The sequence below is a fragment of the Homo sapiens genome, chromosome 6 (assembly GCF_000001405.40).
Source record: "Homo sapiens chromosome 6, GRCh38.p14 Primary Assembly".
Taxonomy (NCBI): Eukaryota; Metazoa; Chordata; class Mammalia; order Primates; family Hominidae; genus Homo; species Homo sapiens.
The window spans coordinates 47,509,878-47,528,580 of NC_000006.12; the positions used below are offsets into that span (position 1 = coordinate 47,509,878).

At 36.5% G+C, this 18,703-nt stretch overlaps 1 protein-coding gene across 4 annotated transcripts in view, besides 1 other annotated feature; it reads left to right on the top strand.

The window, feature by feature from the left end:
* The window catches only part of CD2AP (CD2 associated protein), a 149,475-nt gene that overhangs the window by 32,089 nt on the left and 98,683 nt on the right, over positions 1 to 18,703 (top strand). Inside the window, exon 1 of one of the 4 annotated variants that reach the window (XM_011514449.3) lies at positions 12,264 to 12,394. The exons of the other annotated variants lie outside the window; for them this stretch is intronic. Within the exon in view, the coding sequence (XP_011512751.1) occupies positions 12,377 to 12,394 (18 nt within the window). The 5' untranslated portion in view covers positions 12,264 to 12,376. Of the gene's footprint in view, positions 1 to 12,263; positions 12,395 to 18,703 lie in introns of those variants that run through there. 4 annotated transcript variants of the gene reach the window in all.
* Positions 10,436 to 10,730: a silencer, noted in NCBI's record as "tiled region #13557; K562 Repressive DNase matched - State 14:Gen5'". NCBI's record gives its function as "represses a minimal TATA promoter and a strong SV40 promoter by Sharpr-MPRA in K562 cells {active_cell/tissue: K562}" and the evidence as "EXISTENCE:reporter gene assay evidence [ECO:0000049][PMID:27701403]".

Genomic DNA, 18,703 nt, shown 5'->3' on the forward strand with positions numbered 1-18,703 from the left:
ATAGAACACCGATTTCAAAAATAAGTTAAAAGTTAAATACAAAACATTTATATAGTTCTCTTGAGTGTATGCTAATGTATATTTCTACTATTAGGAATGATTTATCATGGAACTCCATTTTGAAATAAATTTTTCTTTCCTGTTTCAGTATAACTAATACTAGAAGTTAAATTTAATGAACTGCCTGCTAGCAGAGTATATAGTTTATGAGTATGGTAGGTAATAGAGAAAAGTTTAATCTGGGATTAAAAATTAACCACAGGTTACTAGATTATAGTCAGAGACAGCAGTATGAATTTATGTTTAGTTAAAACATGTACAGGTAGATACAGGAATGGTTTTGTATATATATGTGTCTGTGTTTATATATGTGGGTTAGTGTGCATACACAAATATATGTATTCCTCAGCTCTTATTGCTGAGAGGGCCTAGAAGCAGTGATACCTCAGTAGCCGTGAGTACATCCAGTGCCCAGATCTTGATTTCCAAATACCATTCTCTAATAAAAGGAAGGGCTCCTTGGAGAAATGACTGATTCTGGTGTTTGGGGTAATGAAGATACAAGATAAGCCTGGAGCGTGTTGTGGTGGCAGAAAATTAAGTGGTTAAAAAAACAAAAGGTGGGCCTGTGTCAAAGGGACTTAGAACCCAACCTGAAGGAGCTCCCAATATCTAGAGCTGGAACAGTTTGAGCAGCACAATAATCTAGTATTTGATTTTTATGTAAAATACAGCATAAGTATACATGAGTCCATATTGATATAAATAAATGGTTGAATAAATAAACGGGAGAAAGGATAAATTGAAACAAAAATTCCAAGTGATAATTCTAAATACTTATTTCCTTTTCCGCACACCCCCTCTTTCCCTTCCAAAAGCTTTCCTCAGGTGTGGAATAGACTAAAGGATAGATGGGGCCGGGCGCGGTGGCTCATGCCTGTAATTCCAGCACTTTGGGAGGCCGAGGTGGGCAGATTACGAGGTCAAGAGATCGAGACCATCCTGGCCAACATGGTGAAACCCCATCTCTACTAAAAATACAAAAATTAGCTGGGCATGGTGGCGTGCGCCTGTAGTCCCAGCTACTCAGGAAGCTGAGGTGGGAGAATTGCTTGAACCCGGGAGGTAGAGGTTGCAATGAGCTGAGATCGCGCCACTGCACCCCAGCCTGGTGACAGAGTGAGACTCTGTGTCTCAAAAAAAAAAAAAAAAAAAAAAAAAAAGGAATAGATGGACAGGGAAAAATAGTAGCTTAGTAGCTTTTAATGGAGAAACTTCGCAAATACTGCCTTTACCAAGTGGTCCAGGTTAATGTCACCAGTGATAGGTTATGTTGATACCATGTATTCCCTTCACCTTTGTGGTATTCTTCCCCAAAGTCCATGATCCTGGCTGGGGAAAACCTCAGACAAACTAAATTGAGAGACATTCTACAAAATACCTGACCAGTACTCCTCAAAAATGTCAAGGTCATGAAAAACAAGGAAATACTGAGAAACTGACATTGACCAGAAGAGGCAAAGGAGACATAATAACCAAATACATTTTGGTTTCCTGGATTGGATTCTGGAACAGAAAAAGGACATTAGTGGAAAAATTGATTAAATCCATATACAGTTAGTAGTTTAATAATAATGTACCAGTGTTAATTTCTCAGTTTTGAAGTGGAATGTGGTTATACACACTATTAACATTAGGCAAAACTGAATTAAGAGTGTGGGAACTTTCTACTTCCTTTGTAACTCTTCTGTAAATCTTTTTATTCCAAAGCAAAATTTTATTTAAAAAAAATTACCCTTAGGTAATCAACAGCAATGGATAATACACAAATTAATAAGGTAGTTGGCTTTATCACTTCAGATGTGTATGTTAAAATTCAGGGGAAAGCTGTAATTTAAAATTCACTGTCCATTTGAAAATAAGCTTCCTATTGGGACATTAAGGTGCACGTTCATCCTGGCTAACACGGTGAAACCTCAACTCTACTAAAATACAAAAAATTGGCCGGGGGTGGCTCACACTTGTAATCCCAGCACTTTGGGAGGCCGAGGTGGGCGGATCACGAGGTCAGGAGATTGGGACCATCCTGGCTAACACGGAGAAACCCCGTCTCTACTAAAAATACAAAAAATTAGCTGGGCGTAGTGGCGGGCGGCTGTAGTCCCAGCTACTTGGGAGGCTGAGGCAGGAGAATGGTGTGAAGCCGGGAGGCGGAGCTTGCAGTGAGCCGAGATCGCGCCACTGCACTCCAGCCTGGGCAACAGAGCGAGACTCCGTCTGAAAAAAAAAATATATATAAAATAAAATACAAAAAATTCGCCGGGAGTGGTGACATGCGCCTGTAGTCCCAGCCACCCAGGAGGCTGAGGCAGGAGAATCGCTTGAACGTGGGAGGCGGAGGTTGCAGTGAGCCGAGATCGCACCACTGCACTCCAGCCTGGGTTGCAGAACGAGACTCTGTCTCAAAAAAAACAAACATAAAAAGGTGCATGTTATTTTGTAAATCTGTGAATATGGAGTGTGGATGGTGGAACTAGGCTTCTTGTAAAAAACTCACGTCCCTGTTACTAATTCAGATAGCTATACTGAAGAACAATGATAGTCAAATTGGGCTGGAAGATGAATAGAAATGCTGAATTGTTTTTGTGGCTTATTATGAAAAACTTTAGACACCATAAGTTTGTTTTGTGACAAACTTATGCCCATTTCATTGTCCCTTTGCAGTGTGTTTGTCTTCCAGTTTTAAAAGTATTTTACAAAGGATATTGAACACAAGGATCTATGAACTTAATGTACAGAATATTATCATTTTGCCATCTTGCTTAAGTGTTACTTTTTAATAAAGAGAACATTACAGATGAGATTGAGTTCTCATCACCTCCTTCTCATTTCTCTTCCTTTGCAGGACCACCTGTGTTCTTAAGTTGTATGTATCCTTTAGTCCATAGTTTTACACCTATTTGCCTGTGCATAAACAAATAGTATTTTGTGTGATTTAGACACTTACATAATTGTTTCACATTGCACCTTTTCTTTATATTTAATGTGAGATTTCAACATGGATACATAATGTAGTTGCATCTGTTACAAATGGGTTTTATAACACTAGTTAGCTTATAGGTAATTAGTAGAGAGAAATGATGTCAGGACAATGAGAAAGTGTGTTAGTTTATTTTCTAGGTAAGAAGAGCTGTAATAAAGATTGTAGGATTATGACTTCAGCAAGAAAATGGAAGCAGCTTGGAGTTCTTTTGAATCTGAATACCTTTTTTTTTTTTTTTTCTTCTTTTAAAGTAACCATCTGTATCTCTAAGGGTATCTTCCTCAAAGTTTACAGTTCTGGCATTGAGGGCTCTTAAATCCTGGTGCTCACTTTCACTGTCTCAGCATCCATAAGCCAACCAACATTCCCACTTAATTGTTTTTTGTTTTACATTTTTAATAGCTACTGAAGAATTCTTCAGTCATGACTGCTTGGGCAGTCTAAGTTATTGCCTATCTATGTAGGTTCTAGTTATTATTTGTTTTCGTTTATAGTGTTGAGGTCCCAAACTGCATAGGTTTTTGCATAAATTGAGTGGTCTGCAAACTCTATTTTTTATATAGTCACTGGTATTTTTAGTGTTTGATTTTGAAGTTTTCACATAATAAGTGGTATTTTAGTGTTTTTTTTTCTCCCAGAATGCATGGTGTTTAAGACTGCACATACAGTATTATAGGAGAGACACCTTTACTACTACTTTCTAATCTCTGCATAGTATTCCATTGTCCGGCTAAGTATTACATATTTTTTGGATATTTAGGACTTTTTTTCAATTTTTAGCTATTAAGAAATTTTTAGCTATTAGAACTTCAGTAAACATCTTTTTTGGGGTATGTGTACAGCTGAAGATTTGCTGACTCCTAGGGTGTGCACATGTTCAACTATACTAGATGTTGTCTGATTTCTCTCTCAAGTAATTATACCAATTTAAAAACGTCTGATACCATCAGACTTTAAAAAAAATTTTTTTTTGGGGGGGGGGCTAGCCTTACAGATGTACAGTAGTATCTACCATGTTGTGTTTCATTTTCATGATTACTAGTGAAGCTAGGCATCTTTTCACATTTCAGTTCCTTGTGTACAGCTTGTTCAGGATATTTCTTCTATTTTTCCTTTGAGTTCTTGTTCATATTCTAGTTAATTTCTAGTAGTTCTTAATGTATTTTAACCAATAGACTTTTGTCTTCCTTCTGCTTATGTATTCCTCGTAAATGCTTTTTGTGACTTGTCTAAGTATAAACAACTTTACTATTAGCTGTAAAATTTTCATTTTTAGTATGTCATCAATCTTTTTTTGTGTTTAGTATGATTAAATGTTTTTCACTTGGAAAGATATGAATAGTCTACTTCATTGATCTTTTTTAAGTCATTTCATTTTTATTTTGTAGCTACAAATCATAAACTATACCTCATTAATTTGTTATGTTTAAGAAGTAAGCTAAAACTGAGGAGAAACCAGGCTAACTTAGCAGATATTACTACATTCTTAACTTCAATGTTTTAGACTAAAGTAGAGAATAAAGATTTATTTGTGGGTATAACTTTGATTCAGTATCAATGTCTTGGCTAGTTCATATTTGGCACTTGGTTGTTGGAGTTGCTACTTTGTAATTGAGATAAAACAAAATAAACACATTCCAGTAAACAAATGCTTAGTTGACTGTGACATATTTTGGGGTGTGGTGAGAAGAATCTTTCCCACAATTTATTTTATTGGGGGAAATAACAGTGTAAAACAGGATAAATTGTAATGCCTTACATGACTGAATGGCAGACATGTGATAAGATGATAGGTGTTACAGAATCTTTGAAAAAATGTCTTTCAGAAAGGGGATTAAAAGTAAAACTAGGCTGGGCGCAGTGGCTCACACCTGTAATCCCACCCTTTTGGGAGGCCAAGGCAGGTGGATCACCTGAGGTCAGGAGTTGGTGACCAGCCTGGCCAACACGGTGAAACCCAGTCTCTACTAAAAGTACAAAAATTAGCCAGGAGTGGTGGCACGCACCTGCAATCCCAGCTACTCGGGAGGCTGAGGCAGGAGAATTGCTTGAACCCAGGAGGCGGAGGTTGCAGTGAGCCAAGATCACTCCACTGCACTCCAGCCTGGGTGACAGAGTGAGAGTCCGTCTTAAAAAAAAAAAAAAAAGTAACACTGAATTGGTTCTTAAGGTAGAAAGTTATAGGAGTACTGAGTGCATTGTAGGTCTGGCAAAGGTATTAGATAATTTATGATAAAAAGATAATTAGGCAGACTACTTTGGCTGAATGAAAGTTTTCATATGGGGGAGTAATGGGATTTAAGACTAAAAGCATGGGTTAAAGTAGGGGGTACAGTATATTTTGAAGATTGCTTAAAGATATTTAAAACTATTTAATAAATTAATCTGAATGAGAAGGAAAGGTTTTCCAGAAGATAGAGTTGGGGCTATAAAGTATAATAGAGATCAGAGTGCTACATTGAGAGTGGAAATGAAGGGGATAGATAATAGGCTAATAACACTTTATATCTGTATGAATACTTTGCATATTCACATACGTTATCTCACTTTATTCTCATGTCTTTGAAAATTAGGCATAGGGAATGTGTCATTCTTACCCAAAGTCTTGCTGGTAATATGGGCTAAAAACTTGATCATAGTTAACTCTATGACAGGCCAATGCCAGGGCTCTTTTTAGATGAAAAAATGCATCTATGGTATGTGCTAGTTATTAGAGAAATGTGATCATTCTGTAACGTCCTGTGCTTTTGAGGCTGTTGGGGCAAGTGATATAAATCCTAGTCATTGAAATTTTCCAGTAGCATCAGCATAGTTGAAAGATCTTAGCATTATAAAATTAAAAGTGCTTTTGATCACTTTCAGATTTGACCCTGGAAAAGGAAAAAAAAAATCAAACTGTTTCTCAAATTGCAATTTGATGGAAGTAAATTTTTTTTTTTAAACTAAACTCAAGAAATTTCAGAAGAAAGACACTTGACGTAAAGGAAATTCAAAGACTAAAGATGGAATGCAAAATATGTGGGAAAAAAAGTAAAAATACAGGTAATTAGAAAATGAAGCTTGGCTTGAAATGCATAGGTTTCTAGATAACTTTGTAAAATGCATTTAATCATTGTGTTCTGCCTCTATCCCTGGAAATTTTGCTGAAAACCAAGATTTTATTATACAGTTTAAGGAAATTAGGAAGTTCATTTTGTAAGTCAGGATAGTTTACATTGTGGTACCAACATCAAAATCTCAGTGGTGGCGTAGCACAAGGAAAGACTACATCCTTTCATGCAAAGTTTGGTCCAGCTAGCCAAGTCACTGTGCTGCTTTTCATGTGGCGGCACAACCTTCTGGGCTGCTTTAGTCTTGTGGCAAGTCATTGTCAATTTGTGCTTTTGTAATTTTTGAGGACAGAGCAACAGAGCATAGAAAATCACGTTCCAGTTTTAAATGCTTCCCTCTGGAAGTGGTCCATATTACTTTTTCATTTCATTGGCCCATAGCAATGATGTGGTCATGTGTACTATCAAAGGGGCAGAAAAATATGATCTTGCTTTATATGCAAAAGAACAGTAGAACTAGAGCATTAGTAATGCCTATCACACCCAGTGTGTGTGTTGACTGGTACTCATGAAGGTCTTTTCATGATGTGCAATGGATGCTTTGTTTACTTGATTTTATAGCTTCTGGATTGAGAGAAGATCCTGAATTGGTTAGAATTGGGCAGTAATACTGGAACAGAAAGTTAGAGATGACACCAGATAAAATAAATTTTCCCATTTATATACTTCCCATTTTTTTTTCAGTGTGAGTGACAAATGATGTTTTAGTTTGCTTATGAAAAGTTAGAAAACAGGACAGTGGAGGCTGAGATTTTTAGTTTCAGAGTAATTGAGATGTAAATAGGAAAGTCATGGACAATCAACTGTTATTCTTTATTAAAGTTAGATCATAGCATATGATTTTATATTTAGTGCAGCACTTCAGTGTATATCAATTCTATAGTTTTTTATTTCTGCCAATATGAGTTAGTTGCTGGTAGTTGTCCCCTCCAAATCTCATGTTGAAATGTGATTCCTAATATGGGAGGTGGGGCCTGGTGGGAGGTGATTGACCCATGGGGGCTGATCTGGCATGAATGATTTAGCGCCATGCCCTTGGTAATAAATGAATTCTCACCCAGTTCACTTGGGATCTGGCTATTTAAAAGAGTTTGGAACCTCCCTCCTCTTTCTCTTGTTCCTGCTCTCACTATGTGATGCGCCTGCTCCCCTTTCTTCTTCTGCCATGATTGGAAGCTTCCTCAGGCCCTCACCAGGAAGAGATGCTGGAGCCATGCTTGTATAGCTTGCAGAACTGTGAGCCAATTAAACTTCTTTTTTTTTTTTTTTGGAGGCGGTTTCTTACTCTGTCACCCAGGCGGGAGTGCAGTGGTGCGGTGCGATCACAGCTCGCTGCAGCCTCGACTTTCTGGGCTCAAGCGATCCTCTCACCTCAGCCTGACAAATAGCTGCGACTACAGGTGTGTGCCACCATGCCTGGCTAATGTTTTTTCTATTTTTTGTGGAGGTGGGGTTTGCCATGTTGCCCAGGCTGGTCTTGAACTTCTGGGCTCAGGTGATATGCCTGCCTTGACCTCCCAAAGTGCTGAGATTGCAGGCCTAAGCCACCGCGCCTGGCCCTAAACCTCTTTTTAAAATAAATTACCCAGCCTCAGATACTTCTTTATAACAGCACAGGAACAGACTAATAATAGTTGCCAAGTCTTCATGATATTTCTTTATCATCTTTTAGATCTTTTGATGGATATAGACAATCTGGTATATAGTTTAGGTATTTAGACTTTGGAGCCTGGCAGACTTGTGTTTCCCTGGGTAAGTTATTTAGTATTTATGAGATTTTTACCACCACCTCTATCTGCTGAAAAAAGGGATATTAATAGTATTTATCTTATAGTGTTATGAGTATCCAATGAGATGATGTATTAAGCGTTTAATCTAGTAGACTTCGCTTACTAAATTTAATGTGTTGTGATCAGCATTTTACATAAATAAGATGGATAGGAGTGAAGTTGAATAGAAAATGTCAGTTTATCCCCCTAGGTAGAATGGTTAAATATTGTTTTGTAAAACTTTTGTGTCAGGTGTTGTTGGGGGAGGTTCTGAGTGTGTGTCTTTAAGTGTGTTTATATGTGTATATATACTGGGGTTGTTACAAAGGTTTTCCCCCTTTATTCTGAGGAAAATGGGAGACTTCAAAGAGAACAGTGAAAATGATCAGATATGAATTTAAAAAATCAGAATACTGAGTTATGATTTACAGAATAAAATACACCCATTTTAAAGTGTATTTCTGTGAGTTTTGACAAATATACCTATGCAGCTATACCTATATACCTATGCAGCTAGCATAACATTAAGATATTAGAACATTCATTATCTGCAAAAGTTAGTGTTCTACTGCATTTGTGCCTTGCAGGCTAGTGGCAACCACTGATATGCTTTTTGTCATTCTAGATTAGTTTTGCTTTTATAATAATTTAGTATAATTAATAATGATTGGCTTTTTTGTGTCTGCTCTCCTTTGCTAAGAAGCATTCCATTTTATGTATACCACAGTGTTTATCCTCTTTTTACCTGTTGGTGGATATTTAGATTGTTTTCAATTTCTGAATATCAGGGGTAAAGCTGTCATAAACAATGATATATGCCTCTTTGTGTGAACATATATTTTCATTTCTTTTGAGTAATACTTGGGAGTGGGATTGCTGGGGTATATAAGAAACTGCAAAACTGTATTCTGAAGTGATTGTCCCATTTCACATTTCACATTTCCATCAGCAATGTATGAATGTTCTAGTTGTACATCTTTTTAAAAATCAACCACATGTCCCTTTTTGCAATAGTTGTGACAGGCTTTTCAGTTTTATTTAGATAGTGGGTCTCTTCAGTATTCCTGAAAAGAGTATGAATTCCCCAGGTAGCCTCTGTTGTGGTATTTTTTAGAAAGAGACACGGTAGTACTGTGGCATATCCCTCCCTACACTCCGCCTCTTGGTGTTCCAATTCAGTTGTTTTATTCTTATCTATTTGCCACTCATTTATTTATTCAGATATTTACTGAGGTTCCTTGCGCTAGGACTTTTTATAGGTGGCAAGAACACAACTGTGAATAACACAGATAACTTCACTCTTTTTTAATGAGTTCATATTCTAATGGTGGGGCAGACAAATATGCAAAAGAATAAATGAATAAGATAAAGTTAATTTTTGATAGCCATAAGCACTTTGAACAAAAATGCTTGGGGAGGTGGAAAATGACATTGATAAGTTGGGTGGTCTAGAATAACATCTCTGACAAGATTTGGCCAGTAAAACACAGGAGAATGCAGAGTAGATAAGGAATGAATTCCCTTTGAGAAGGAACCCTGAAATTAGACAAAGTAGGCTGCATGTGATGGTTTGGGTTTCTAGCTACTCTACTAGAGCTACTTCAGGAAGAAGATAGTTTGGCATTGTGACAGGAGTACGGCCTTTGGAATCAGGATGTGTAGACCTCTGTTTGACTTCTTTTGATGACCGTGCCCTTGCCACTATATCCACACAAGTACCTGTTGTGTGTTCTTTCTGAAGATGCTTCACCCTAGAGCATGAGTTTCTTCCTGTGTCAAAGCAGGGAACTTACCTGTTAGGATTGTTTGGTAGCAATTAGATTTTGTGTGTCTATTCCTTGTATGTAGATATATAGTGGAATTTATTATCTCATCCTGTTATTTTCTTGCTCAAGAACTGCCCATTCATATCTGAAAGGAGAAATTGGAGAAGAAAATCACCTAAATTATAAAATTAGTCAACAAATTTTTTTGAATACCTATAATATGGCAGGCACTGTTAAGTATTAACAATAAAATAGGGAAAAAGGCAGAACTTTTCAAATTGCCCTTTTAAAAGAAGTTAGTAGTTTTCAAGGAAGGAGAAAAATAAAGAGGAAAACAGTTAAAATGAGAAAATGTGGAACTAGCAGTTAGCTTGATTAGTCTATTTGCTTAAACTAGATAGTAAAAAAGATTTTAGTGTGTTAGGATTTGAGTATAAGTTCTAACTTCTTAGGGCAAAACAAATTTTGTTAGGTCTTTTTTGTGGAACTAAAGTGTTGTGTTTAGAAAAATGACCTGTGGAAATGATTTTTTTTTTTTGTTGAGTCCTTTGGAATGGAAAAAAGGTAGTTCATTTTAGGTGAGGGGCTAAATTGACTATGGAAAGTTATTTCAGTTACTGAGACTGGGGATAAAGCAGACATCTCTGGGGCCTCGTTATTAAAAGCTGAAGATTTGTGTTCAAGTCCTGGTAGAAGTATCAGTGGTAAAAATATTTATAACAGTCAATATTGGTTGAGGACCTTGGATCTAAATATAAGCTTTATTTTCCTAAAGAGGAAATCTATGCTGAAAAAAGTGAAATGAATTGTGCCAAAGTCCAGTGCCTCACTTGGTCTCTGTTGACAGTTGTCGGGAGGGGCTCCCCACTGTGTTTCCATCGATACCTGCCTTGGCTGGAGAGGCAGATGTACTTCATTAGTGCTGTCCATATGGCCTCCGCTGACAGCAGGGGGAAGGAAGGTGTGGTTTGTTTTCACCTAGTGTGGAGGGAAGTCCCGGCTGTATACTGGGCCTTTTCTGGTAACCATGCCTCTGGTGGGTGGTGGTTGGGGGCGAAAGTGGGGTCTATGGTGGTGATTGGGGCGCCTTATTATAGCCTGATGAGGATGGAAGTCTAGGTTCCCTACTTGGTCATTGCTACCATGGGCAGGACTGGTGCTACAGTTTTTTTTTTTTTTTTTTTTTTGTCCCTGTGGTGTTTGACTGTGGCACAGTGGTTATTGTCTAAGAGCTCTCTGTCTTGCCAGTCTGCCTGTTTCCTGGTCATTTGGCTAGGGCTAACACTAGTGGGCTTTTCTTGAGTTTTGTTTTCTTCTTCTCTGCTTGCATTGGCATTTCTATGTTGCAGACTTCTCCAGTACCTAGCCTGGGATATAGGCAAAAAGAATATTAGTGAACTCACTGCCATGTTGTTCCTCAGATTCTGAGGAACTTGCTCAGTTCCTGTCCCTGGCTGGTCTGCCTTCTTTTCAAAATTTAATTATTTATTTATTTTTTACATATGTAAGGTCCAGAGCTTTAAAATATATTTAGCAGGAAGAATAGGGAAACACCTACTCCATCTTTCTGTAAGGGAAAATCTAGATGGTGATGCTTGTAATGCACATCCATAACAGTTGCTTATCTTGCTCATAAGTAAGGTTTTTACTCAGTCTAAATACTCATAATTATAAAAGTTCTTTTCTATTAGAAGTGGCATAGTAGGCCAGGCGTGGTGGCTCACACCTGTAATCCCAGCATTTTGGGAGGTCGAGGCGGGCAGATCACCTCAGGTCAGGAGTTTGAGACCAGCTTTGCCAACATGGTGAAACCCCGTCTCTACTAAATATACAAAAATTAGCTGGGCGTGGTGGCGGGCGCCTGTAATTCCAGCTACTCGGGAGGCTGAGGCAGGAGAAGTGCTTGAACCCGGGAGGTGGAGGTTGCAGTGAGCCGAAATCGCACCAGTGCACTCCAGCCTGTGTTGCAGAGTGAGACTCCGTCTCAAAAAAGAAATGGCACAGTAATAGCTGTTTTTAAGCTGTTGTTATTAAGCTAGTGTTTGGAAAAGTTTAAATATTAGTTGCCATTAAAAAAGAAGAATAGATTTGCATTCAGCAAAAAGCTAATAAACGTAGTTGATACCCTTTAAGTTATGACTTGCTTCTGAAGGTTAAGATAACACATGAGATTTAAGATAACTCTCACGCCTGTAATCCCAGCACTTTGGGAGGCTGAGGCGGGCAGGTCACCTGAGTTCTGGAGTTCAAGACCAGCCTGACCAACGTGGAGAAATCCCGTCTCTACTAAAAATACAAAATTAGCTGGGCTTGGTGGTGCATGCCTGTAATCCCAGCTACTTGGGAGGCTGAGGCAGGAGAATTGCTTGAACCTGGGAGGCGGAGGTTGCAGTGAGCCGAGATCATGCCATTGCACTCTAGCCTGGGCAACAAGAGCGAAACTCTGCCTCAAAAAAAAAAAGAAAGAAAGATAACCTAACAGAGCAAGTGACTAATTGGAGACATTGAATAATTATTGGTGGACTCTGTTCACTGATGAGTTTCATATAAAAGGGTGCAGAGTCCGATCACCTGAGGAGGCTGGGGAGGAGCAGGTGAGGAGGAATACTTAGAAGGTGCATTTGGTAGTGAATTTTGCAAGCGCCAGAGCACAGAGAGTCATGGAAAAAGCAGAGAAATATCAGCGGAATGATATCAAAAGAGAAGGTTAACAAAGTATTTTTATTCGCTGTACTTAAAAGAGTGTTAGCAGGACAGTATTTGTTGATAAGGGGATTCAATCTGTGAACAGTGAAGCAGTTTGTTTTTGTGAGCTTTGTAGTGATCCTGGAGGTGGTACTACTTACTTTACAACCTGTTACTGTTATAATGTTTTTATTTTGCTGCTTTAAAAAATAAGTGGATATGTTAACAGAAGGTGTCTCAGGTGCTGGTAAGTGAACTGCTGTTACTTACATTTTTAAATTTAAAATGAAATTTTGATCCCTTGTGAAGAGTTTCTTGACCTTGATATAAAGTGTTCTAGACTTTTTGATATAGTCAGGAAGAAGAAAACAAAAATTACCCAGTAAGTTTTTCAGGAAGCTGACAAATGAATAAAAATCACTCAGATGTTTTTTCTTGGTTTCAACCTAAATTTCTAGCAATTTTTTTCTCTTCGTTTAGAATACAGGTTTTTAAAAAATTAGTTTGAAAAATTATCTTTTATTTAAAAATGTTTATTTTCAGTTTATTTGCAGATTTCCATAGTAAATATAATGTAAATTATATTTACATTAAATCTTTAAATATAATTAAAATCTTTTTTAAAGCTACTTGAAAAATTAGCAATATGAAGAATAAGAGATGTATGTATATAGCTACTTTGGAAAGTCTCATTGATTTAGAAAAAAATTCTTTTTTTAGAAGGATGCTGATTTAGTTTTTGACTGTTGTTATTCCAGTTTTCATAAGAAGAAATATTTAAGTAAAGGAAATGACAATTTGGTGTTATATGGTGTTTAGTTTTAAAAATCTTTTGCTTTATGAAACTGTTAGATCTTTTGGATGGATGTCAGTGATGTTTTCCAGTATTTATAGAAATGTATTGACGACTTTAATAGAACAATTCAAGAGCTAGCTTTATAATAGTTCATATAGAGAACATTTTGATGTTTGATTTACTTTCATTAATTGGAGACAGATTAAGGGAGAAAACCTTGCAGATATTGGAATATTAAATGGAAGACAAGTTTACTGGCTAATTGGGAATTGTAATGAAAATGGTAGATGTTAATTAGCTTGACTGTAGTAATCATTTCACTATCTACACATATGTCAAAAGATGTTGTATACCTTAAGTATATGCAATTTTTATTTAGAGAAAAGAACAGATCTCCATTTCCACTTGTGTTGAATATGTTGCTTAAGCAAGAAATAAATCTTCATTGACAATAAGTAAAAATAAAAATAAAAAACGGTTGAAAGAATGCCAAAGTTGTGTATAGTTATTGATGATACATCATAGTATGTTTTCTGTTACTGTTAAAGCATTAACTATTTTACACATATATTAAGAGTAATTCATTCTGTGACTTGAGTTATTTTAGATAATACTATTCTGAATTTCACATAGACTATATTCAGTGAGTTGGAGAAATACTTTATACAGGTAATACTAGAAAATATATATAAGGATTTACATTTGATAAAGTGTACTCGCATAGCATATGTGTCTTTTTCCAAATGCCCTATAACAATGTGACATAACACTGTTATTTGTAGGTACACCAAATCTTTTATTTTATTTTAAATCACAGACATAGTATATGTTGAAACAAAAGTCAAAGCAATATAGAAGTATCCATTGTGAAAAGTACCTTTCTTTATAACCCTCCCTCAGCTTTCTTCCATGTTTAGAAATTTGGTAGATAGCTTTAAAGACTGTTTCCTATAAAACAAATCTTTTAAATGGAATTATTTGTACCATTTCCCCCTTTTACATACTATTCTTCATACTGTAAATAGAAATTCAAGAAATTCAAGACATTATTATATATAAACCATGTTAATGTTTGCCTTGGACTTAATCTGGAAAGTTACATTCTCATTTTTTCCCTTTAGGAGTTAATACATTTTGTTTCGGCTAAGGTATTTCAGATTGGTCACTACTGTAGAAATAAGGTAAACCAGGTATCAGGAAAGTTGAGTGCCAGAGCTGGGCTTCTGGGATATCTCCTGCTCTAGCTCCTTGGACCCAGCACGACTTGCCTGCTGTGTCACTCTCATCTGTGGCCTCAAGGAGTCTAGCATCCTTGAGAAAGAATTTCCCATGTAAGCCTCATGTTTTTTCCGTTAGAAGAAATTGTAAACACATTAGCCCTCATTTTCTTGCAGTTCTTATTCTTAAACCCCTTCATCTAGGCCTGAAGGTGGAAATGACATTTTTTAGATGAACAAAACTATTAGGAAAAATGTGACCATTATAAAATATTGGGTTATTTTCAGTTCATTTCAATCATTGTGGTATGTCTGAAAGAATGAGTAAAGAGAAAAGTTCTTAAGTGTTTTTTTTTCCACTGTACTTCACTTGGCTCTCATTTACATTCCTGGATAGAAAAAAGGAAAGGAGTAGGATGCCATTGACAGTGAATTTATATAACTTCCCCCACCCCATTTCTACTTTTGCCTTCTCTGAATACAGGAGGAATAGTTTAAATAGGAAGTTCCTTTGTCCAAAATGTGGAGAGCAATTGTGTAACAAAAAGCATAGTAGAGGAGAGAAGTTTAGAAACTTTCAAAGTAGGTCTGCTATATCTGTCATTTTTGTTTTCCTTGCCGATTTTGATCTATTGACACTTAGACGATACGTACTGATTTCATATTAAGGACATTTTTTCTTGTTGGTCATTTTTCTTTGAACTTAAGTGCTTTAGTGAATATCCAATTTAATTTAATCATAATAAAAAGGAAAATCAAATGACTTTAAGTAGTTTTTCCTGGATATTCCTTATATATTATTACTTATATTAAAAAAAACAAAAATACTTCAGGAGTATGGTAGGCCATTTTGTTAGGTTAAAATCTAAATCAATCATTTCTAGACTATTTTTTAAAATGTAAGCCTAAAATTAGTCAGAGCTAAAATAGTTGGCAGTATATACCAGATAAACATTTAATTCTTATTTTCCTTATTCTTTAGTAATACCACTTTTTCATATTGTCTGATTATGCTTCTGTGAAGTAGGAGATACTAATTTTATATACTTCTGGAAATCCTGAATGTTAAATTAAAATAATTAAGTATATTCCTTAGATTTTAATTAGCTTAAGCAGAATTATTACTGTGTTTAGGAATTTGGTGACTAGGTAACCTGCCTGTTTCATTTGAGAAATGAAATGAAGTTCTTGACTTCTCACCTGGTTTTTATTATTCTTTGCGACCTTTGAGTCTATGGAATACAAGTAAATTGCTTTCTATTTTCAAATCATGATAATGGCCACAGCCATGATTAGATAGCCAGATTATTATATGGACATATTACAACATGAAGGAGTGGTTTGTGAATTTTGTTGATTATCTTTTTAGTTGTTTGTTTTGGTTAATACAATCAAAATTATGTATCTTTGATTACCTTAATAGATGAAGAGTAGATATACCCTTTAACTTCCCCCACCATTTGCATATGTATTTCAGTTTTTATCCTCTTGTTGTACTACCTACTCTTTATCTATAAGCAAAACCAATCAGTATAGCACATTCTTATCTATATGGAGATTATCCATATTGTATTTTTTCTTGGCAAGTTTTGTATTGACATTACCTATTGTGCAAGTGGCTTCCCTCATTTGAAGTATGAAACTCGAGTTTTTCAGAGTTTGCTTTGACTATACATGATTGCTTTCCAAGTGAGGACTCTTTTTTACTACATCTCCTGAAGTTATTTTCCAAGTCAGGAAAGGAAGTGATGTTGGTAGGAAATAAATACTGCAATGTTAATATGTATGCTATTTCCTGGCTCTTTTGGTAAAAGTGAATGAAGGGCAGAGGAAGGAATAAACACTGGAAGCCTTACTAATACCTTAGGTACTAGGTAAAGTTTGCTATATTAGATAAAATTTGCTATTGAAATTGATAGCCAAAGAGTAGTCTGGTAGAGGCACTATGTTTCCAGAAACTAGGGAAAAGAGTAGATTGGTGAGAGTGTATGTGTGTGTTTCTAGTAGTAAGGGATTGTAGCTCGGAGGAGTTCCAGAGAAGAAGGTGGTGGACCTCACAGCAAACTTTACCTTATTTGTAATTTTGCCTAGAGCCTTGAGGTCTAAGCAAAATTGTACTTGTGGTAACATCTCAGTTGGCAGTATGTATTTGGAAGGCTGTAAACCTGAGTTTTTTCTATTCATTGTAGACTATAAGATTTTTTAAGTTGCTTTCCCCCTTTTATTTGTATCTTTTGTCTTCAGAAGATTTATTATATCTAATATTCTTAGATATGATTATGTCCCAGAGAAAATTGAAGGTTCCTAAAATGGTTCTAGATCTTGAGCAATGAATTCATATATCATGTTAACATTGTTTTACAGCAAATGAACACAATGGAACCAGGATTTGTATACAGTTTGTCTGTCTCCTGAACCTGTCCTCTATCACATTTGGTCAGATTGGAGTTACTTTCAAGAGGAACAGGATTTGAATAGTAAGTCAAGTGCTTGGTCTCCTGTACTAGAAGCAACAGTAGCTCTCAGAAGTGTGAATTTTATTTTTTCAATGTAGGTAGCTTATGAGGCAGACAGGAGAATCCAAAATGAGCAAGTACTCTTTGGCATGTTGAGGTTGTAACTACTAGTCTTTTATGTAGATTTTGTTTTTATTAGTATGAAAAATACTTAGTGCAGTCTGAAAACTGTGAGGTTGATGGGTGTTATTAATAGCAAATCAAAGTAATTTTCTTATGTGCATTACCAATAAAAACAGGGAAATATTTGTGTATCTTTCATGTTTTGTACTTAGTAATTTTTCAAAATTCTCTACCCACTTAACTGTTTTTCCAAAATAAAAGACTCCCCCCCGATTGAAAAATATTCATTGTTCTTTTAAAAAAAGAAAAGTTTTTTTGAACAGTTACATGAAGAGGTCATGTTCATCAGAAATCCTACGTGTGGTAGGCATAAATGCCTGGAGAAGTCTGTGAAGGTGTGCTCCTACACTCAATGAAGAAGTATACCTGTTGTTGCTGCTCTTGGTCTGTCTCCCTTCCCACCTCCCATGGATCAACTGAAAGTATAATGTTGAGACAGGTATACAAAGAACTAGGCTGTAAATTTCTTATATCCAAGAGACCAAAGTGATTCCAATAGGAGCAAAGAGGCATTACAAGGAGATCAAGAATTTGGTGAAAGAAAGGAAAGGGAGAATTATACTGTGGAGAGTAAAAGGGAGTGTGAAAACAAGGTACACTTCTCTTTCAGTCCTTTCCTGAAGGAGGTAAGTTTCATATAAAGTAGATTCTTATTTCCTGTGGACACAGTGCACCATAATGAATGAATTGATATGCTAGCTTGAAGAGGCTGCCCAGTAGAAGAAAAAGATAGCATCTGGTATGTGGTGATTTGGTATGGGACATGGAAGTAACTATGTTGTCAGCTGTGCCAGGAAGCTGCTTGGAGTACGTTGAGTGATACCTGCAGATTAGTTGTTTGTCCCCAACCAGAGAAAGTACTAGATACTGCTTGTGCCAGTGGCCCTGCCCTGGATTTCATTATTTTTGAAAGTGACAAGGTTTAGTTTTCTACCCAGAGTTACATGGGAGTTCAGAGTCAAGAAAATTGGGTTCACTAGTAAAAATCAAGTCGTCGTCTTTACCTACATTTGTTTTTTGGTTCATACCTGTAAATATATATTTGTGTCATATTGTTGGCTAAGAAGCTTCTGGGTAGCATGTATTTTTAATAGAAACATGTTTTATATATGTGGTGTTGTAAAATTGGTTTGTTTTATTCAATAGTGTGATTCAGATATCATTTCTAATACAGATATATCATTCTTTAATGACTACAGTATTTTATCAGATGCATGTACTGTAGTTTATTTAAATAGTTCACAACTAATGGCTGTTTGAGCTTCTAATTTACTACTTCTTTTGGGGGATGAGACAGAGTCTCTTTCTGTCACCCATGCTGGAGCGCAGTGCTGTGATCTTGGCTCACTGCAACCTCCGCCTCCTGGGTTCAAGTGATTCTCATACCTCATCCTCCCAAGGAGCTGGGGTTACAGGAGTGTGCCACTACGCCTGGCTAATTTTTGTATTTTTAGTAGAGAGGTGGTTTTGTCATGTTCGCCAGGCTTGTCTTGAACTCCTGACCTCAAGTGATCTGCCAGCCTCAGCCTCCCAAAGTGCTGGGATTATAGGCATGAACCACTGCATCCAGCCAGTTCATTTATTATATATGGAACTTATATATTTGGTTGGGTTTATTTCTGGATTAGAGTGTTATACAACTGTCTCATGCTTTGCTGTTTTTACCAGTTGTAAATAG